This window comes from Homo sapiens, chromosome 18 (assembly GCF_000001405.40).
Source record: "Homo sapiens chromosome 18, GRCh38.p14 Primary Assembly".
NCBI lineage: Eukaryota > Metazoa > Chordata > Mammalia > Primates > Hominidae > Homo > Homo sapiens.
The window spans coordinates 50,931,019-50,954,816 of NC_000018.10; the positions used below are offsets into that span (position 1 = coordinate 50,931,019).

At 37.8% G+C, this 23,798-nt stretch overlaps 1 protein-coding gene across 3 annotated transcripts in view; it reads left to right on the forward strand.

The window, feature by feature from the left end:
- ME2 (malic enzyme 2) overlaps nt 1–23,239 on the forward strand; it is a 75,140-nt gene extending 51,901 nt beyond the window's left edge. The window contains exons 13-16 of one of the 3 annotated variants that reach the window (NM_002396.5): nt 1,240–1,342; nt 8,552–8,622; nt 9,270–9,368; nt 15,999–23,239. In NM_002396.5, coding sequence (NP_002387.1) covers nt 1,240–1,342; nt 8,552–8,622; nt 9,270–9,368; nt 15,999–16,166 — 441 coding nt within the window. In that variant the 3' untranslated portion in view covers nt 16,167–23,239. The remainder of the gene's footprint in view (nt 1–1,239; nt 1,343–8,551; nt 8,623–9,269; nt 9,369–15,998) is intronic. The other 2 variants (NR_174094.1, NM_001168335.2) reach the window with 2 other exon arrangements.

Below are 23,798 nucleotides of genomic sequence, written 5' to 3' on the forward strand. Positions count from 1 at the left end.
AAGTAGTGGTTACTCTGCATTATTGACCTTCAGATTACCTGGAGTCAAATTCTTGAATGTTAAATCCACTAAAGCCAAGGGTCTACAATGCTATAAAGAATAATAACACAATTAATTCTCTTAGAAATACTGAATATGCCAGTAACATTTATTATATGCCATTATAGAGCATAGTATCAAAATTGGATAGATGTGACAAATTTGGAGAAGTATTCTTCTTTAACAAGGCATCAGGCCATTTGTTTTCCTGGAGTGATACTGTGGTCATGCCACATGCCTGTGTTATAAACTGCCTACTGCTGGGTATTATAGCATCATTGAAAACCTGTGGCTATGGAGTTACAAAAAAATCTAGATTAAGATTTAACTACTACAGTTTTGATGTGTGACTTTTGACAAAGTATTTGAAAATATTAAAGCCTTAGTTTTCTGATTTTTTAAAATTAGTGAAATGGAGATGATGATGAAGTTTTCATGATGGCAAAATTAACTGAGTTAAACACATATAAAGCACTTGGTAATTAGTTTTAGCGGATATATAGTAAATGACAGCCATTTGTTTTGGTATTTCCCCTTCATTCATCAGTGTTTATATTGGTCTTTATAATATGGAATGGTATTTATTGGCCGTCTACATTTTAAATTTCTTTTTTTTTTCTTTTTCTTTTTTTTTTGAGATGGAGTCTCGCTCTGTTGCCCAGGCTGGAGTGCAGTGGCGTGCTATCGGCTCACTGCAACCTCTGCCTCCTGGGTTCAAGTGATTCTCCCGCCTCAGGCTCCTGAGTAGCTGAGATTACAGGCATGGGCCAACACACCCAGCTAATTTTTTGTATTTTTTGTATTTTTTGTAGAGATAGGGGTTTCACTCTGTTCCAGGCCATCTCAAACTCCTGGCCTCCAGTGATCTGCCCACCTTGGCCTCCCAAAGTGCTGGGACTGCAGGTGTAAGCTTCTGTGCCTGGCCTTAAATTTCTTAAAAATAAGTGTCTGGTTTTTAAATTTTTAGTAATAAATGATTTTTAACTTTATTATTTATTTATTGAATGTATACTACACATGAAACAAACCTCATTCTAACAAAAGGATTGTAACGAAAAGATTGTTATATAGTATATTATGCCTTGCTTCCAAGTAATATATTGGTCTATTTTACTTCAGGACTTGATTTTGTATGAATTCACCTCAATTTTCTCATCCACAGAAAATAACAAAATTGAAGTTATTTCATTTTATTAACAGGGCAGGTGTTTGTTTGCCAGTGGCAGTCCATTTGGGCCAGTGAAACTTACAGATGGGCGAGTCTTTACACCAGGTCAAGGAAACAATGTTTATATTTTTCCAGGTAAATGCCACCATTATTTATGTTATAGAGCAATAGTTAATTATGTAAAAATACTTAATGGAATTCTTTGGAATGGGAGACTGAACTGAGCAACAGTATTACAGAATTTTGGTATAAATGTACAAGGAAACTCAAGGAATTCATCAAATTCAGCATGCTCCACTTTCTCTGAAAATTTATTCATATTGTTAATTAAATTTGTTTTTATTATAGAAATAATATATTGCATGATTTGTAAAAATGCAGAGGAACAGAATGGCACAAAATTATGTAACCCTTTCTATCTCCCCTTGGTGTACCTCCTTAATCATACTTCTCAGAACCATTGTCAATAATTTGCTGGGAGTTCTTCTGATGGTTACCATCGTGACTGATAGATTTATTTCCCAGGTTCAAGCAGTTCCCCTGCCTCAGCCTCCCGAGTATCTGGGACTACAGGCATGCACCACCACACTCAGCTAATTTTTGTATTTTTAGTAGAGATGGGGTTTCACCATGTTGACCAGGCTGGTCTCGAACTCCTGACCTCAGGTGTTCTGCCCATCCCAAAGTGCTGGGATTACAGGTGTGAGCCACCACGCCCAGCCAGGTGTTCTTATTTTGTAAGATACACCCAGTATACTGGTATCACACCAAAGGAAATTAATAATAATTGCTTAATATCGTTTATCATTACCTCAGTTCAACAACTTATTTTTATTCCCAATACCTTTTTTATTCTAGAATTGCTCTTTCTAAATAGCTACTTTTAAAGCAAAAATGGTTACAGTACTCATTGAGCTTTTTCTGGAGAATTATTAGGATTCCTTTCAATGTTTCTGCCTTTGTGCTGTATTTTCCATAAATTTCTAGTGATCCTCAGTTGTCTCTTTCTTTTAAGCAAGACTGTGTTGAGTAAAACAGGAATTTTGTATGATTTTCTTTTGCACTTGTGTCTTTTTTCTTCTGGTAGGTCTTTCCCTGACTAGCTGACAGCAGGCTCTAATTAAGATATGACAAGTTTATATAGGCTGGCATCAGGCAAGCATGTATAACTGTTGTCAAAGTAAAGAGGGTATTTAGTCTGTGAATATCCTGGTACTTTTCTATATTTTTCTCCTTTTTTTTGCCCCTCATGTTTTCCTATATGTCTCTTGAGACCTAACTTCTATAATAGAAACTGTCCTGTCATCCATAATCTCTTTCTAGAACTTGATAATGTTCAAAATTAATGTGTTCTATTCAGTAACATTTCTATGGCCTAAAAGACATGAGGGCAGGAAAGGAAATACTTTTCTGCTGATTTTAACAAAGCTATTTTTTTAAACTTTTTTTTTTTAGTTCCAGGGGTACATATGAAGGTTTGTTATATAGGTAAATTGTGTGTTGCAGGGGGTTTCATGTATAGATTATTTCATCACCCGGCTAATAAGCATGCTACCCGATAGGTAGTTGTTTGATCCTTACCCTCTTCCCGCCCTCTACCCTTAAGTAGGCCCCAGTGTCTGTTGTTCCCTTCTTTGTGTCCATGAGTTCTTATCACTTAGCTCCACTTGCAAGTGAGAACATACGGCATTTGGTTTTCTGTTCCTGTGTTAGTTCACTTAGGATAATAGCCTCCAGCTCCATGCATGTTACTGCAAAGGACGTGATCTCATTCATTTTTTTGGCTGCATAGTATTTTTTTTTATTTATACACATGGTGTATATGTGCCACATTTACTTTATCCAGTTTACCATTGATGGGCATTTAGATTAATTCTATGTCTTTACTATTGTGAATAGTGCTGCAGTGAACATACACATGCATGTGTCTTTATGGTAGAATGATTTATATTCCTTTGAGTATATACCCAATAATAGGATTGCTGGGTCGAATGGTTGTTCTAAATTCAGCAAAACCATATTTTATATCATATCTGAGTATTAAGGAATTTAGCAGTTGATTATTTTTATATAACACTTTAAAATCCTAACTTAAATAACAGCTATGGATACCATAAATATAGACATTAAAAATGACCTGGTCAGGCATGGTGGCTCTCGCCTGTAATCCCAACATTTTGGGAGGCCGAGGCAGGAGGATTGCTTGAGGCCAGAAGTTTGACACCAGCCTGGGCAACATAGTGAGACCTTGTTTCTTCCAAAAATTAAAAAAATTAACCAGGTGTAGTGGTGCACACCCCTATTCCCAGCTAGTCAGGAGGCTGAGATGGAAGGATCGCATGAGCCTGGGAGGTCCAGGCTGCAGTGAGCCATCATCATGCCAGTGCACTCCAGCCTGGGCAACAAAGTGAGACTGTCTCAAAAAAATAAAATAAAATGACCTGGCATTTGAGGCAGAAATGAGCCTAAAAGCAGGAGGATTGGCTGAAAGTCTGTTTATAAAGCAACTTAAAAAAAAAACTGTTAATATTTGAATGACCTAGTTGAGCAACTATAACAACCGGATGAAAATTTTTTTTAAGACTTTAAAAGGGTCAAAGGGATAAGATATTGACTCTAATGGAATATTGGAGAATTCTGGACCAAGGTTAGGGAGGGAACAAATGCACAGAACAAGCTTTTGAAGCCAGTTTTACAGTGGAAATATAGACCAGGAAGAAAGTGGCTAAGAGGTACAGCTGTGCTTTTCATGGAAAGTGGACAAGATCGGCACCATGTCCGAGTCTGGCACTACCTCCCACTCTGGACTGAAACCCTAAAGTGCTGTACCTTGGATTGGGGGTATAGTTTGCAGCAGCAATGGGTGATTTAGAAAACCTCAAGCCTCTGTTCGGGACTGCCAGTGCCCACAAGTGCCCAGCGGAAGCAAACAAAAATTTCTCTGAAATAAGATAATGGCATCCTAGTCCTCAAATTATTTTTATAAATTTTCAAGTACAACCTAAGTAGAAAAATAAAAAAAAAGATAATGAGGCACATAAAGAGACATAACAACAGAAGCCAAAACCAGCAAAAACAAGAAAAACAGACACACTGAAACCCTGGATATACCGTAAATGCTATGAAACAAATATGCTTATTATGTTTATAGAGATAAAAGCCAATCTTAAAAACTTAAGACAAGTACCACTAAATTCTAGAATTGAAAAATGTAGTAGTCTATAAGAACTGAGTGAGCTGGGTGTAGTGGCTCATGCCTGTAATCCCAGCACTTTGCGAGACCAAGGTGGAAGAATTGCTTGAGCCCAGGAGTTTGAGACCAGCCCTGGCAACGTAGTGAGACCCCCATCTCTATAAAATTAAAAAAAAAAAAAAAATTAGCCAGGCATAGTGGCATATGCCTGTAGTCCTAGCTATTCAGGAGGCTGAGATGGGAAGATCACTCGAGCTTGGGAGGTCAAGGCTGGAGTGAGTCATGATTGGGCCACTGCACTCCAGCCTGGGTGACAGAGCAAGACCCTGTCTCAAAAAAAAAAAAAAAAAAAAAGAGTGAATGAGGCTTATGGCAGATTAGACCAGAGAGAATTAATCAACTGGAAAATATCTCAGAAGAAGCAATCCAGAATGCAGCACAGAGAGACCAAAAAGAAAAAAAAATAGGTAAGGGACATACATTTCATTGATAGATCTTTAATTGAAGTCCTAGAAGAAATGAGAATGAAGCAGAGGCAACATGTGCCGGCCTCATGGCTGAGTTTTTTTTTTAGAACTGGTGATTGACAATCAATATTCAAAAAGCTCACAGAAACCCATGTGGGATGCATAAAAAGAAATCTACATCTAGGAACATTATTGTGAGGCTTCAGAATCACCACAAAGAGAAGAATATGAAAGCAGTCAGAACAAAAAGATTTCCTTCAAAGAAGCGACCGTTAGACTGACAGCAGACTCCTCAGTGACAATAAGATACCAAGGCAGTGGTAATGACCTATTAAAGTTGCTTATGGGAAATACTTGCCAACCTAGAATTCATTACACAGTGAAAATATCCTTCAAGAATTAAAGCAAAATGAAGACATTTTTCAGAAAAACAAAAAACCGGGGATTCACCACCTGGCAGACTGTTTTTATATTAAAGGAAAGGAAATTTTGTTCCTTAGGGAAAAAGAAAATAATCCCACATAGAAACCCTAAGGTGTAGGAAGGAATGAAAAGCAAAGAAAGTTATGAATAAGTGGGTGGGTACAACAAAATGAATGTTGTTTATATAGAGTGAAACAAACATCACATGGGATTTTGAAAAATATATATAGAGAGAATTAAAATGCACAACAACAATAGCTCCGTTAAATAGAGTTAAGCTGTTATGTGGGACTTACATTGATTGACAGGAAGGTAAATTAAAAATTATAATGTGGAGCTGGGGACATTGGCTCACACCCATAATCCCAGCACTTTGGGATGTCAAGATGGGAGGATCACTTGAGGCCAAGAGTTTGAGACTAGCCCTGGCAACATAGGGAGACTCTGTCTCTACACACACAAAAAAAATTTAACTAGCCAGGTGTGGTGACATGTGCCTGTAGTCCCAGCTACTCCAGACACCGAGGACAGATGATCACTTGAGCCTAGGAGTTTGAGGTTACAGCAAGCTTTGGTCGTGCCACAGCACTGTAGCCTGGGCAATAGAGCGAGACCCTGTCTCAAAAAAAAATTTAATGTAGAACGTTGGTGGTTAAAGATGCATGATATAAATTTTAGGATAACCATTAAAACACTACAAAGACTTCCTGTTTATGGTAAGGTAATGTTGGGATGAAATGAAACAACAAAAATCCGAAAAGCAAGAAAAAAGAGGAAAAGGAACATAGGCAAGACAAGATGAGATGAGAGTGATGAGACTAAATGTTTGGGGGCTAAATCTGCCCCAATTACTTGAAAAAAAAAAAACTAAAAGTAAAAGTAAAAACCACATTAAATCTAAATGGACCACATTCTCTACTTAAAAAAATGCTATTAACCATGTGATCTTCTCAGTCATGAGGTAATCTGGTGACTACCCTTCCTCAAAGCCAGTTGGGATATTCTTTGAATAGAGTAAAACAGTGTTTCTAGGCTGGGAGACACCAGACATAGTTGAGGACAGAGGTGCTAGAAAATAGGAAGTTTAAAAGCATGTGCGGTGATGCTCAGAGGAGGTAAACCCCACCCTCATGCTCATAGCTTCCAATCATTTTCTCTAGTTCTTAACTCTTAAATGTGAGAAATGCTTGAAGATTACTAGTCATCTGAAGAAAGTCTCTTTATTAAAGATTTTCATAAAAGAGACCAAAGCAGACAAACAGAAAAAGACATCTTGGGGAAAAAAACAAGGATAATGGGAAGAGAAGGAAAGTTTTAAAAATTATCAATATCCTCAGGGGGACAAAATATTATATCCTATAAAGACAGATTTTTATTTTTTAAAAAAATAGAAAGCAAAACAAGCTCCTAAAAATAAAGTTTGATAGCAGAAAGAAGAAAAAGATGAGTTAAGTCACCTAAAAAGAGAGCAAAGGACAGGAGAAGGAAAATAAAGAAAATTAGAGAGCCAATCCAAGAGGTACAATATCAGAAAATATAAATGTCAGGGAACAAGAACAGAAAAATGGAGGGAAGTGAATCCTCAAGACTTCATGAACATTTCCCAAAACTGAAAGACTCGTGTTTTCAGATAGGAAGCGCCTACTCACTGAATGCTAAACATGATGAATTAAAATAATGCACATCAAGGCACAGTGTTATGAAATTGTAGACCGTTAGGTATAAAAATAAGGATCTGGCTGGGCACAGTGGCTCATGCCTGTAATCCCAGCACTTTGGGAGGCTGAGGCAAGAGGATTGCATGAGTCCAGAAGTTTGAAACCAGCCTGGGCAACATAGTAAAACCCTGTCTCTACAAAAAATAAAAAAATTAGCCAGGTGCGATGGTACATGCCTGTAATCCCAGCTACTCAGGAAGCTGAGGTAGGAGGATCGCTTGAGTCCAGGGAGGTTGAGGTTGCAGTGAGCTTGTGCCACTGTACTCCAGCCTGAGTGACAGAGCGAGACCCTGTTGCCAAAAAAATTTTTTTTTAAAAGGGATCCTACATGCATCCAGAGATTAAACGAAAACAATCACCTGAAAAGGCTCTGAACTCAGATTGATGCTTCTCACCAGCACTGGAAGCTAGATGGTATTGGAATAATACCTCACAGTTCTGAAGGAAAAATATTTCCAAGCCAGAATTCTAAACCTAGACAAACTATCAAATATAAGTAGAAAGAAGTAAACAAACACATTTTCAGAAATGCAAGATTTCAAAAAATATATATCTCCCATGCACTGTTCTTCAGAAAGCCTTGGGAGAATGTACCCTACCAAAAGAGGGAGTAATAAACTAGGAAAAGTTGTATTTGGGAAATGGAATCAACTTAGAAAGAAGCAAAGAGGCCTGTAATGATAAAGGGGTTTTCTAGGATGACAGCTCCATAGCTGGAATGGGGGACAACCAGACCAGAATGGAGCTTTAGTAGATATATTCTAGAGCAGGAAATTCGAGAATATATAAAGTAGCTAAAATAGAAGAAAATGTAGACAATTGAGTGAGAGTTCAAGGGTGAAATAACAATGTTAAATACTAAAAAATCAAAGTAAAGGAAAAAGGACAATTATTAACTTCAGGAAAGACAAAGTTATGCAGAAAAGGAAAAGTAACCATGATATAAACATTGAATATTGATTGAACCACAATTATGCTCTAACTATATTGGGAAGAAGAAAGAAAGCTGAAAATATGAAAGAGCGCTAAATATTTACTCCTACAGGAAAGAGTCAGTGATCTCCAAAACAGAAAATGCAAGATCAGCACAATAAGAGAAGGCAAAAAAAAAAAGAAAAAAAAAAAGAGAGAGAGAGAGAAAAAAAAATCACAAGAAACATAAGTTATTTAAGAGTGAGAGAGAGAAACAATCAGCTAAAAAAAATTGTCATTGCCTCTGTAGAGCAAGAAGTGGAGTGTTAGAGGTGGGCTGGGAACTGGAGTTAAAACAAGCGTTGATGAATTGTATGTATTTGTCATTTTCATAAATGTAAAAACTAAACTGAGAAAAGCCATTTGATATTTCTGAAATTACTTAGCGAATAAGAATTATTAAAGATCGTTTGATTTTAACTCAGATTTCTGTTTCTTCTTGGCTGTTTTCTGTTTGGGGGGAGCTGTTTGCGATGTGGATGGATTACCATTTATTTGCCTGAATATAGGAATTTACTTCTTTCATAATTTGAAAAGTGACCATACTAGTAAACTTTAAAATGTGTTCTAGGTGTGGCTTTAGCTGTTATTCTCTGTAACACCCGGCATATTAGTGACAGTGTTTTCCTAGAAGCTGCAAAGGTAAATGTTTTAAATGTTGTTTATTTTATAAAGGATGAATTATAAAGATGAGTAGATCTGAAAATTAAAGGCAGAGAGAGAATGGGTTAAATCTGCCTTATTAATGAAAAGGAAGTTACTCAAATTACTTTTATGATTTGCCTATTTATGCATAAAATTAATTTTTTTAATCATGACTTAAATTTTTGTAAACTGAATCCTCTCGTTTTAATAACACTTAGACTATACTTGCAATTTGTATATCTGAATATATTGTGACAGCATAGATAACTCCTTGCATGTTTTTAATGGACAAGTACTGGTATTATTTGGAGTGCTGGCCTATGGGAGCTCCAGACTTTGAAGTATTTCTGAAGAACTCACATTAATACAATTAATGTCTGTTTTCAAAGTAGCCATTGCAATTAAGCCAAGCTCTACATGTGTAATATAAAGCAGAATATAATCAATAAGTCTTTAAATCTGGTTATTTATTGTTTAGTGATGAACAGTTTTAATTTCTGCAGTGGTTTAAGTGTATTCCTTCAAGAAATAAGAGGAATTATATTACCTGTTTTACTCTCTGTTTCCCCAATGCTTTTTCCATTTACTGGGTCCTTATTCTGTTATTTAAACAAACAAAAGCAAAATGCTGTTTTTCTCTTCAGGCCCTGACAAGCCAATTGACAGATGAAGAGCTAGCCCAAGGGAGACTTTACCCACCGCTTGCTAATATTCAGGAAGTTTCTATTAACATTGCTATTAAAGTAAGTAATAACTTAAACTTCTTCACATTAATTTTAATGACATTTTCTTATACAAGAAATACAGGTTTATTAAGATAAATCTGAAACATTTAGAAGGCTGCAAAGAAGAAATTTTAGGCCCATATTCTTACTACCAGAATATAACACACATGATTATTTTGGGTTTGTTGCCTTCTAGTCTTTTTTCTTTGCAAACACATACATGCATACACACATGCATGTAGTCACTTGTGCCTTTTTGAAAAATTGTTTTAAAGAATAGAGATAGGGGTCTTCCTGTGTTGCCCAGGCTGGTCTCTAACCCCTTGGCCTGAAGCGATCCTCCTGCCTTGGACTCCCACAGTGCTTGGATTACTGGCATGAGCCACAGCACCTGGCCTGTGCCCATTCTTATAATTGGTTTCTTACTGCACTTTTTCCCCTTAATATATTGTAAGTCTTTTCCATGTAACTTAATAATAATTCTCATGTATGTGATCATTAATGCTGCATGGCATTCTCTTTATTATTTTTTCAAAATTTGTTTCATCATTTCTCTGTTTTTGGACATTTAAGTTTTTAGCTTCTTATTGTTAGAAATAACACTGTAGGCTGGGCGCAGTGGCTTACACCTGTAATCCCAGCATTTTGGGAGGCCGAAGCAGGTGGAACATCTGAGGTCAGGAGTTCGAGACCAGCCCAGCCAACATGGTGAAACCCCGTCTCTACTAAAAATACAAAAAAAGTTAGCCAGGCATGGTGGTGGGCACCTGTAATCCCAGCTACTCTGGAGGCTGAGGCAGGAGAATCACTTGAACCTGGGAGAAGGAGGTTGCAGTGAGCTGAGATCGTGCCATTGCACTCCAGCCTGGGCCACAAGAGCAAAACTCCATCTCAAAAAAAAAAAAAAAAAAAGAAAGAAAGAAATAACAGCGTAATGAACATCTGTCTTTACAGATAAATCTTTGTGTGTATTTGTGATGGTTTCTTTTTTTTTTTTTTTTTTTTTTTTTTTTTTTGAGACAGAGTCTTGCTCTGTCACCCAGGCTTGAGTGCAGTGGCGGAATCTCAGCTCACGGCTCACTGCAACCTCTGCCTCCCAGGTTTAAACAACTCTCCTGCCTCAGCCTCCCAAGTAGCTGGGATTACAGATGCCCACCACCATGCCCAGCTAATTTTTTGTATTTTTAGTAGAGACGGGGTTTCACCATGTTGGTCAGGCTGGTCTCGAACTCCTGACCTCAGGTGATCCACCGGCCCTGGCCTCTCAAACTGCTGGGATTACAGGCGTGAGCCACCACGCCCGGGCTGTGATGGTTTTTTTTTTTTTTGGGATAAATTCTAAGCTTAAGAACAAAGGTTTTTAAGGTGTTTTAAGGCTTCTGATGCATATTGTCAAATGAGCTCTTCAGAAAAAGTACTGATTTACATTGCAGCAATTAGATATGAGTGTATCTTTTTCCACACTTTTTCCAATACTTAGAATTATTTTTTTAATCTTGCATATTTAATAGGTAAAATTGTTTCTCATTATTAAGGCATTATTAGTGAGATTGAAGAATTAATATATATATATTAAGTGTATATATACTGTTTGCTGTGGTGCAGATATTTTCCCACTTGTCATTTGTTTTAACTTTATAGAATTGTTTGACATGTCTTTTAAAAGTTTTTTATGGAATTATTTGTTTATTTTGTGGATTCTCTCCTCACCTTTTATGAATATTAATGCCTTCTGTCACTCCAAAATCATAACTGTCTACTTGCATTTTCTAAAATAAAACTTTTTTAATCTCTCTGGGATTTATTTTAATGTATGATATGAGAAAGGGAAACATTTTTTCCTGAGTAGTTAACCAGTTGCCCCAGCATTATTTATTGATTAATGCGTCCGTTGTTTACAGTTAATTGGGAATTGAATCTGTTCCTGGGATTTCTATTCCTGACCATTTTTGTTTACTATCTGACACTGTTTTAAATTTTATAATGTGTATAATGTAACATTTAGTACTTTATCTTTCCCATCATTATGCTTTTTCAGTGTTTTCTTGACTGTTCTAAATTGTTTTCTTCTGGACAAGTTTTTGTATCTGCTTTTTTAATTTTAAAAAACTCTGCAACTTTGTATGAAATTGTTGCATTTATAAATTGGTGAAGTTGGGTCTTTCAGTATTGAGTATTCTCCAATCACTATCTCTCTTTACTTATTAAGATCTTTTTTAAAAAGTGTTTCAGTATAATTTTGTTTTCTTCATCTGAATATGGCATTTTTACTTTTTTCTAAATATTTTTAAATTTCTGTTTTTCTAACAAAGACTTTTTTTTCTTTCCAAGTATCTTCTCATTGATCATTTCTAATATATAGGAAAAGGTAGGAATAATACTAATTTGAAAACATTCATTTTTATGAATTTACTTGATGACCAGTTTTTTGAACAATCTTATTTTAATAGTTTTTCATTTCATTTGGAATTGTTGAGTTTTTAATTGTCTGCAAGTAATTTTTTCTTTTTTTAATATGCATAGTCCGTTTTTCTCTAACTATAAATCAGCTGAAACTGCAGAATAGTCTTAAGCAATTAGGTTGATAAGGGTATTCTTGTATTTTTTTTTCAATTTAGAGACAGAGTCTATGTTGCCAAGCTGATCTCAAACTCCTAGGCTCAAGTGATCCTTCTACCACAGCCTCCCGAGTAGCTAGAGGCACATGCCACCACACCTGGCTAACATCTTTGTATGTTAATATTAAATATGATGCTAGCTTTTGATTGAAATAAGTATTTTCTACTTTTTAAAAGAAGTAGTCTTCTATTTCTAGATTACTAAGATTTTTCTTAAACATTAGGATTGACTGTGGAATTTATCAGCCACAATTTCAACTTCCATACAGTTGATCATAAAATTTTATCATTTTGACTATTAAATTTATTTATTTATTTATTTATTTATTTTGAGGCCGAGTTTTACTCTGTCACCCAGGTTGGAGTGCAGCGACGTGATCTCAGCTCACTGCAACCTCTGCCTCCCAGGCTCAAGCGATCTTCCCACCTCAGCCTCCCGAGTAGCTGGGACCACAGGCATGCACCATCATGTCCAGCTAATTGTTTTTTGCATTTTTGGTACAGATGGGGGTTTGCATTGTTGCCCAGACTGGTCTCAAACTCCTGAGCTCAGGAGATCTGCCCACCTTGGCCTCCCAAAGTGCTGGGATTATAGATGTGAGCCACTGTGGCCAGCTTTGACTATTAATTTTATTATTACATTATTTTGGTGCCTGTAACCTAAGCAAAGATTGGGAATTGGTAAAGGATGGTATGTTCAGGGAATAATAGTTGAGCCTGGGGGAACAGGTAGGGAAATGGCATGGAAGAAAATTTGAAAGTTATATTAAAGCCAGCTGTACAAATATACAAATGCCAGGCTAAGGAGTATGATTACCTTCTACTGCAAAACAGTTGAAGATTTTAGAGCCCAGAACTAGGATGATAGAGTCCAACTTTAGAATTTATAGAATGATATTACAGGTGGGAGAGATTTTGGAAGATATTAGTCAGTTAAGAGATTACTGGGCCAGGCAGAGTGGCTCACTCCTGTAATCACAGCACTTTCAAAGGCCAAGGCAGGAGGATGACTTGAGGCTGTAAGTTTAAGACCATCCCTGGACAACAAAGCAAGATCTCATCTCTACCAAAAAAAAAATTAGCCGGGCACAGTGATATGTGCCTGTAGTCCCACCTACTCAGGAGGCTGGGGTGGGAGGATCACTTAAACACAGGAGGCCAAGGCTGCAGTGAGCTATGATCATACCACTGCACTCCAGTGTGGGTGACAGAGCAAGACCCTGTCTCTAAGAAAGAAAAAAGAGAGAGAAATAATTGGTATATCCAAATGAGAGGTAGTACATGAGGTCATAGAAGGAGACCTCTGCTTAGGATTAGTATAGCAACAGAGGCCCAGGTTCATGTCTCTGCGTTTCCCCAGAGGCAGGAGTAGAGAGTGTGCTGTGTCTGCAGTGGCATAGGCTTTTCTTTTTAGGAGCAAATAAGGAAGTGGTGAGTAGAGGAGGCAGAGCTTTGTGTCTGTCCCCACCCCAAATAGCCACTGATTCACCCCTTTGGCTCTATGAGCAGGGCTGTGTGTGCTCCTCTGACAGCCACCAGTCACCTTCTGCATGCCTCCAGGACCAAGGGGAGCTTTCTCCAATCTCATGCCTTGCCCGTAATCTTTTTCTGTGGTTACTACCAGCCTGTGGGAAAGAGATTTGCAGTGAGTGTGAGCCCCCCTTATGTCTAAAGCTTGCAGTTGTTCCAGAATAAAACACTAGCTCACATTGACCTTTGGCAGTTCCTTAAAATTTTAGCTGACTTCTTATTGTATGCATGGTGGCCACTGCCTCATTCTCCCTCCCATGCTCTGCCACAAGTGAGAGTTTCTGTGTCTAGTCTGCCGCCTTCTCTCCTTCATTCATTTATTTATAAATTTATATTTATTTATTTATGTTAATTATGCTGCTCACTGGCTTCAGAACACCTCCCACTGCCCCTCACATCAGGCAGGCCACGTGTTCAGCTCTCCAAGGTCGGAAGGAATGAGGAAAAATGTGTTTATTCCATCCTCCTGGAAGCAAAAATCTCTGCCTGTCTTTTTATATCATTCCTGTTTTTCCTGTTTAGTACAAAAACTGAGAAGAGCAATTTGGTCAACAAACTGTACTAATGACATGTTATGTTTATTTGGCCCTTAGGTTTTTTGTTTGTTTGTTTGTTTTTGAGATGGAGTCTCAACTCTGTCGCCCAGGCTGGAGTGAAGTGGTGCAATCTCAGTTCAACACAACCTCTGCCTCCCAAGTTCAAGTGATTCTCCTGCCTCAGCCTCCTGAGTAGCTGGGATTACAGGTGCCCGCCACCACGCCTGACTAATTTTTGTATTTTTAGTAGAGACAGGGTTTCACCATGTTGGCCAGCCTGGTCTCATAAACTCCTGACGTCAGGTGATCCACCTGCCTCAGCCTCCCAAAGTGCTGGGATCATAGGTGTGAGCCACCACGCCCAGCCAGCCCTTAGGTTTTTAACCTCAGATCTTTATTGCAGTTACCTGCCACTGAGGATCTAGCCCTTCCCTACTTCTTTTTCCTAGTCAGTGATAATAAAATATTAGTAAAATATGTTTTCTATAATAGAACAGAAAACAATTGAACACATTTTCTATCACAAAATACACTGAGATTGAGTTCTTGGTACCAAGGATTATTTTTTAATAACCATCTTATTCTGAGATTTTTCTTTTAGAAAGTTGAAATATGAAACTTTAATAATGGTTACCATTTGGAATGAGAATTAGAGGAGGAGAGCGACATCTTATAATTGTTTGAATTTTTTCTACCATATGTCACTACATTTTTTTAAGTTAAAATAAAACCTGCCGGGCATGGTGGCTCATGCCTGTAATCTTAGCACTTAGGTAGGCTGAGGCAGGCGGATCACCTGCGGTCAAGAGTTCAGGAGCAGCCTAGCCAACATGGCAAAACCCCATCTCTACTGAACATACAAAAATTTACCAGGCATGGTGTTGCATGCCTGTAGTCCCAGCTACTGGGGAGGCTGAGGCAGGAGAATCGCTTGAACCCAGGAGATGGAGGTTGCAGTGAGCTGAGATCGTGCCACTGCACTCCAGCCTGGGTGACAGAGCAAGGCTTCATCTCAAATAAATAAATAAATAAATCCATAACAGAGCAAGGCTCCATCTTAAATAAATAAATAAATAAATAAATAAATAAAACCATGACTTCAGAACTTTACTGTGTGAGAGGTGCTGTGCTACCCTGTGAGGAAGTGTTTCACATTCCTCATTTTATATCAGAACTGAGGTTCAAGGGCTTATTCTCACCACCAATCATGGTGTGTGGCTTGGGTGGAGAATTTGAAATTCACTCAAGCCACCTTTGGTGGGGAGTAGTCGAGCTTACTGTTGAGGGTCTAATATCTAGACTCAGAATGCTTTGGGTTTGAAACAGCTCTCAAGTAACTACCTTGGGCAAGTTACTTAAACTCCTCTCATTCCTCATATGCAGAATGAGAATAATGATAGCACTTATCTCCTGGGGTTCTTGTCGAGAGTAAAGGAGGTATCCTTGTAAAACACATAGAAAGTGCCTGGCACTCAGTGATAGTGGTGTCAGTTCCCCTGTATAGGTTCTAGCCCTGACTTCACCTGACCTTATAGTTCTAGTGTCTAAATCCTGATTTATAATAATTACTATGCCTCTTAATCCAAATTCTAGAGCAGAAACCTCTCTCTCACCTTGGGTTAGGTTTTCTTCCTGGTCAAGTTGGCTGTGATTAGGAAATAGTCTCTGTGCCCCTCTAGAAAGGCCACTCTTTCAGCAAGACTGGGAGGAATGACATAGGCTGGGCAGGTTATCTAAATGTATTTACTAGAATGACACAGTAGAACTTAAATGTGTTTGGTTTTATCTTTTAAACTTTCCATAGTTTCCAAATGTTTTGAAAGGAGTCAAAGCAATGTTATTTTTTACTGTGAAAAAAGAAGAATGCCATTCTTCTAAACTTATTTTCCTGTGTTATAATAGTACGTTGTCTCTCTAATAGGTTAATACTCAGAGCCTACACAATAACCTTACTTATTTTTCAGGTTACAGAATACCTATATGCTAATAAAATGGCTTTCCGATACCCAGAACCTGAAGACAAGGCCAAATATGTTAAAGAAAGAACATGGCGGAGTGAATATGATTCCCTGCTGCCAGATGTGTATGAATGGCCAGAATCTGCATCAAGCCCTCCTGTGATAACAGAATAGAAGCACTCCCCTGATAAATACTTTCTGTGCTCCAGGGAACCCCTTTTTTCAGACAAGAAGAGATAATGTCTTCAGTTTTATGGTGTTTTCTGTGTTTTGTTCTCCCTGACCACTTTGGTTGATGTATTTTTTCCATGCGTCTCCACATCTGTTGGGGTAGACGTGTTGATTGATTGCATTGCCCACCAGCACCCTACAGTCAGATAGTTGTGATGCTTTAATTCTAACATACAGCCCGTACCACATCCAGGAGATGTAAAAAGTGTGTTTGTGAATGTCTTCACTTGTACTCTAATTCAGACTTGCCAAAGTATTTGCTATTTACTATTATGGGTAATACTCTTCTCTGGCCTAGTTCTTACAGAGCTACTAAAATAGAAATTTACTTTTATGGATAGAAGTACAGAATTTTGAGAAGAAACTAAATTTTCACCAAATTTTAAGGAAAAATTGTCATTATCTAAAAATGTTCTTATATATCTGCTTCATCTTACCTTCATACTCTGAAATTCCCTATAGCAGACAGAGCTAGGGAAATATTAAAAATTTACCCTATTTATTTTCTGGAACTAAATCAAGCCTTAACTATAACATTATGAGAGTAATGGGAACTACTGCTGGCTTTAAGTAAATAAAAGTCATTGTTTTCAACAGTGTATAAAAATCATAGTGTAACCTTTTTATTTAATAAATATCTTACATTTAATTGCTTCAGTTATGCTATCTTATTGCCCAACTAGAAATTTAGATTTGCTTATGAAAAACACATATTTTTGTTACTTCTAGATGATTCTAGGAGGGAGTATAAGATACCTAATCATATGGGAACATCACGTGACTTTTTAAATCTAAATTAGTCATGCTTCACATCAAAATGAGTCATATTTAACTGGAGAAACTATGCCCTTATTCCAGAACTGATGCTCTTTATTGCTTGAGATAATTTTGGAATGTTACTATGATACTGTTTCTTTGAATATCATTAGTAGTGACAACTCTTTCTCCATTGAAGGCAGACTTAATTTTTTTAAACCACCAACATTAATTTAGAGCTAAATGGGGATGAATAAGGTTGGTGTTCATCTGGGAAATGCCTTTTTTAATCCCAGTAAAATGGGTAATAATGGCTATCCAGAACAGTTTTCTTGTGTGGCTTGCATATTGAAGAATTCTAAAGGAAAATATATCTGCCTACCATGCTTGCTCTTAGGGAAGAAAACTTAAATGCTCATTCTAGGATAGTAACAACAACAGATAATTCATCGATAATATGAGCATGCACAGTATTTGATATTGCTCTGTAGGAAAAAAGAGACTTCATTTTTTTCATCTTCTGCCTATGAATACAAATTGATTCTTTTTTTTTTTTTTTTTTTTTGAGACAGAGTCTCACTCTGTTACCAGGCTGGAGTGCAGTGGTGTGATCTCAGCTCACTGCAACCTCTGCCTCCCAGGTTCAAGCAGTTCTCCTGCCTCAGCCTCCCAAGTAGCTGGGACTACAGGTACACGCCACCACGCCCAGCTAATTTTTGTATTTTTAGTAGAGACGGGATTTCACCATGTTGGCCAGGAGGGTCTCGATTTCCTGACCTCGCGATCCGCCCACCTCAGCCTTCCAAAGTGCTGGGATTACAGGCGTGAGCCACCGCACCCAGCCAATTTTTTTTTTTTTTTTTTTTGAGACAGAGTCTCGCTTTTGTCGCCCAGTCTGGAGTGTAGTGGCATGATCTCTGCAACCTCTGCCTCCTCGGTTCAGGCGATTCTTCTGCCTTAGCCTCCCAAGTAGCTGGGATTACAGGCACCGGCCACCACACCCAGCTAATTTTTGTATTTTTAGTAGAGATGGGGTTTCACCATGTTGGCCAGGCTGGTCTCAAAATCCTGACTTCAGGTGATCCACCCACTTTGGCCTCCCAAAGTGCTGGGATTACAGGCGTGAGCCACCACACCTGGTCCAATTCATCATAATTCTGAATATAATTTAATAATTTTAAAATGGTCGCAATGGCATTGCCATTTGGAGTATGGGAAAATGCAGTTGGTTAATTCATTGAACAGATTAGTAAAGTCAGAAGTCTTTTTCATAACATACGGTCACAATTCCTTTCTTTTAATTAAAGACAAAAGGTTTATGGGTTTTGGTTTGTTTGTTTTAGATATGGGGTTTTGCTATGTCACCCTTGCTGGAGGGCGGTGGCTGTTCACAGGCGTGGGTCATAGAGCACTGCAGCCTGGAACTCCTGGGTTCAAGCTCTCCTCCTGCCTCAGCCTCCTGAGCAGCTTGGACTAAAGGTGTGCACCACCGCACCTGGCTGAGAGGCTTCTGTTTTTCATGTTCCCTTTATCAAAACAAAATCACGCCTAAACATACTCTCTGTGTGAAATCTTGATTTTAGTTCAACCTAAGAAATATAATAAATATAAACCTGTTTCTTGCTTAGTGTTTATTGAAGGCAGGAACGTATGCTGAATTAAAGTAATTTTACTACGAAGTTTGCTTATTAAGTATGCCTGGTACAGTCTTCATGGAAGTTATTAAGTATTTTAAGGAAAAAAATAGGCTAAATGGCATATAGCCTGCTTAAATAAAATAATTCTATTTTTTTAAAAAGCTCCCAATTGTCATTGTTATTTACCAGTCAATCTTTCAACAAGTATCAATTATTGGATGTAAATTAAAGTAAAATTGCTTAATATTTAAGCTAAGAATACAGGAAGGACTATGAGCATTGAGGAAATCGGGGGAGGCCAGAATGGCATCAAGCTGGAAAAGAAATTAAAACATTACCTTCGATGAGACTTTACCTAGCAAGAAGGTAATTATTTTGAATAACAGCAATAGAGAATCTTTTATTTTGAATTGAGAAGAAATTCTGATGATTAGAGTGTCAGTAAGTAGTAGGAAAAGGTAAGAATACATGTGTTTCTAATCTCCCACCACCACCTGTTGTATGGAACAAATTGGATTACTAGCAAGGGTAAGGTTTATTGACAATGAGAAGTTTTAGTCCAAGATTTTAGTTAAAATATTTTAAAATTTTTTGATTCATAACCAAGAAGTTGCCTCAGATCACTGTGAAGCTTTAAAATGCAGGTGCCTTTGCTCCTCCTCCCTCCAGGCCCCCGGGGGCAGAGCCCTGGCTGGTGTCTCTTCAGGAGGACCCCTGACACACCGATTCTGCCCTCACAATCACTGCCTTAAAGCAGGCAGCAGAATCTTTTGGAGAACTAACAAGATTCTGATGCTGATGCATAGGGCCTGGGGTGGGGCCTCAGATTCTGCTTTTTTTTTTTTTTTTTTTTTTTTTTTTAAACAGGGTCTCTTTCTTTTTCCTTTCTCACTCAGGCTGCAGTGAGTGGCGTGATCTTGGCTCACTGCAACCTCCACTTCCTGGGCTCAAACGATCCTCCCGCCTCAGCCTCCTGAGTAGCTGGGACTATAGGCGCAAGTCTATGCAACCACCCAGCTAATTTTTGTATTTTTAGAAGAGTGGGGGTTTTGCCACGTTGCCTGGGCTGGTCTCGAACTCCTGACCTCAAGTGATCCAACCACCTCAGCCTCCCAAAGTGCTGGAATTACAGGCATGAGCCACTGCACCCAGCCAAGAATGTCCACTTCTGACAAGCTCCCAGGTGATGCCTATGCTGCTGGTACAGTGAACAACATGCTGAGAGGCATTGCTCCAGGATACTGCATGTAGTGAGCAGTTCTTTAGCGTTTATGTGTCATATACTTCAAGTTACATGAAAAAGATCAACTGAAATTATGTTCTTACACAGAATAGTTTTCATCTAGTTTTATTATGTTTTTACAGGCTGTTTACAAGAACAAAAATAGAGAATTTTTGAACATATTTTTCTGAAAACATAAAAACTAGAGTACTCTTTAATTCTAAATTATAGATTTGTAGCATACTTAGTAAACTTAGTAACCAATTTTCATTTGTAAAAGATTAGCTATCAAATGGACATTTATTTCTCTTAGTTTTCTTATGACATGACTTGCCTTATATCCTTTGTCCTTTTTCTGTAACTTGTCAGCCTCTGGAGAAATAGGATTTTACATTTTTGCAAATGAGTTGCCAATGAATTAAGATCAAAACGTCATTATTAAGGAGTATGAAGCATTATTTACTGGCTCTCAGATAACAGAAAACCCAAAAGGGATGGTGGCGGAGTGAAGAAAGCCTTGCCTTGGGAAAAATACTTCAAATGCTCCCATAGTTTTTTTTCCTCAAGCCCAGTCAGTATCCTTCAAGGATAACTTTTTCATACCTTTTTTTTGGTTTGTTTGTTTCTGCTAGCTTTATGACAGAGGTTATAATATTCTTTTCTCCTCTCTTCTTTGACGTGTTACGTTGTCTTTTTTTTTTTTTTTTTAACTTCTTCATACTCTTAAAAAGCTCCAGAATGGCCAGGCGCAGTGGCTCACGCCTATAATCCCAGCACTTTGGGAGGCCAAGGCAGGCGGATCACGAGGTCAGGAGATCAAGACCATCCTGGCTGACACGGTGAAACCCTGTCTCTACTAAAAATACAAAAACTTAGCCAGGCGTGGTGGCGGGCGCCTGTAGTCCCAGGTACTCGGGAGTCTGAGGAGTGAACCCGGGAGGTGGAGGTTGCAGTGAGCTGAGATCGCACCGCTGCACTCCAGCCTGGGCGACAGAGTGAGCCTCCATCTCAAAAAAAAAAAAAAAAAAAAAAAAAAAAAAAAAAAAATCTCCAGGGTTCTGTTGAATTCACCAAAATGGGGTCAGCTCTGGTGAGCCTATGTAATACTCGAGAACATTAATATAAACCCATAGCTCTTTACTGGGCTTCCATTTAAAGGGAAGTCCTAAGAATGAAATGGCACCAGCATCCTGTTTCCATCCAAGACAAGACCACACGTGTTCAGGTGCCATGTATTCATATAGCTCTCAACTGATTGGTGATTTGCACTTTGTGCATCTAATTATTAAAATGAAACTCTCTACAGGTGAGCTGAAGTAACATACTTCATATTTAAAAAGTTCACAGCAATTTGACCATAGAAAACTTTCTCATCTGAAATCAGGGTAAGTTTTTTTAATGTAAGCAGAGAAAAAAATAAAGCAGTGTTTTATTTCAAATTTCAGTAAGTTCAGGTGGGCCTAATTAAGACATGACTATTATTACAAATCCTATTCTTGCCAGAAGTTACTTAGATAGATTAGTGATTAGATTTTAAAAACATTATTTTCCTTTCTTGAATAAGGAAAATTGTGCATCTCAAAGAGAAAAGTAAATATGGAAATATGTTCATAGTTCAGTTGCATAAAATAGACACATTAAGTCAAGTGATTTGAATGCTTAGTGTCTTTTGGTAAACAGCATTTTGTCAACAAACTTTTCATATGGCTATAGAATCTTGTTTTTTCCAAATAAAAACTTTGCAATTGGGAGTTATTCCTCCATTCAGCACACTTTTTAATGTTAAGACTAGGGGAAACTTGTGGGTATATATTCAGTGGTTTTCAGGATTTTCTTTTATGTTCTAGAAAAGTAATTTTTCCTTTCCTAGTTTTAAGTATATATTCAAGCAAATCGTTGATTCCTATACAGCCATTGGATTATCACCAACACATTTGGTATATACAGTGGGCCGATAATGACAAACTAAAGTTTGTGGTTAATACCTACTCTATACCAGACACTGTTCTAAGGATCCGACATATTTAATCCTCTGTTTACCCTCTGTTTCTGTGCCTGATTTACAGACAGAGACAGAGGCACAGAGAGGTTAAATGACTTGTCAAAGGTCTTATGATGTGTGGCAGAGCCTGGGTTTTTAGCTCAAACCCCTCTCAGTGAAGAAAGCCTTCTGTGTAGGCAATTTCATCTAATACCTTCATGAATTGTTACTTCAGATGAGAATTCTCACTTATTCTTTTTTTTTTTTTTTTTTCTTTTCTTTGAGACAGCCTTGCTCTGTCTCCCAGGCTGGAGTGCAGTGGCGCAATCTCAGCTCACTGCAAGCTCCGCCTCCCGGGTTATGCCATTCTCCTGCCTCAGCCTTCCGAGTAGCTCGGACTACAGGCGCCCGCCACCTCGCCCAGCTAATTTTTTGTATTTTTAGTAGAGACGGGGTTTCACCGTGTTAGCCAGGATGGTCTCGATCTCCTGACCTCATGATCCACCCGCCTCGGCCTCCCAAAGTGCTGGGATTACAGGCGTGAGCCACCGCGCCCGGCCTCACTTAGTCTTTTACCAGTTCATCTGATTTTTACTTTGTTCCCATTTATAATTCAAATATAATATAAACGTCTTATTCATTTAGTCTTCAGCATTTTAAGTATTCGACACGAACATTAAAGATTTGGTGTTGAATTTAATAAATTACACCAAAAAGTCTCAGTAGCCAATTCACTAACATCTTTTGATTTGGTAATCTTCACAGAATCAACAACTGTTAACACTTCTGTGCAAATAAATTTCAGTTGTGCTTATATATTATAATATTCACTTTAGGAATCCACCTGTCAATTTGCAATTCAATTATAAGGTATATTTTAAGTGATATCTATGTATTGTATACACATATTCCATTGAAAGGTGAGAATAATTAGAAAGTAGTAATATAAAAATGTGTATGAAATAAGAACTTTCTTAAAAGACCTAGTTTAGCTAAATATATGACAATATAAAATGTCTGCCCAATGTTTTATTATACTTTGTCTAATGACCTTTAAATTTAACTGAAATTAAAACCGTACTTTTGCAGTTGATATTTTTGTGTTCCCTTTGTTAACATACCAAGCACTAATTATTGACTTCAAGGAAGCCACGTATTGCAAGTCATTGCTTAGCCTTTCACATCTGAGTGTTGATAAGATGACGGAATGGGTAGTCTTGTAGTAATTGCTTATGGGAATGCTAGTTTAAGAGGAATGCCTTGTATAGAACATATTATACCAGATTGACTTGTTAAAAATGGTTCCAAGAATCAGTCTAAAAACTTCAGAATTATGTGAATTATTTTTTCTCTGTTGTGATATGTTGTAATGAGATGTGTGTTCTTATATTTTCTTAGTAAAATTTTCTTAAGCATAAAATGCTTTATGATCTTGTTTTTAAAGGCTCTGTGTATAGGACACTTTTAAAACTTGGTAATATAAACCTTAACACACACTCTCTCTCTTTCTCTCTCTCTCCAGAATACTTGATCTCTTGGGAATGTATTGTTGGACTTAAATTCACCTATGGAGTACTAGTTTTGCTCCTCATCTTTTCATTCCCTTTTGTTGAGCTCCCTACCCTATTCCTCTTCTTACTTGATTTAATTATGATACTAAAGGAATTCTCTATCGCCTTTTCTTCTCCCCACTTCTCACACGCAAACACCAAGACCCTAATGTTAAGATACTAAATCAGGAGAGACTATGTTGATTTTGTGATGAAGGGGGGAATTATATAATAACAAATACCTACTGAGACCCTCAGATAAAAGTTCTTTTTTTGCCTCAGGATTCATGAATAGCTCCCAGGAGTCCACGAAGCCCCTGAAATAATACATGATCCTATGCTTGTGTCTCTTGGAGGGAGAGAGTCCATCACCTTCATGAAAGGGCCCTTTCTTTTCCCGGGATAGGTTGAGAAAAACTAGCCTACGCC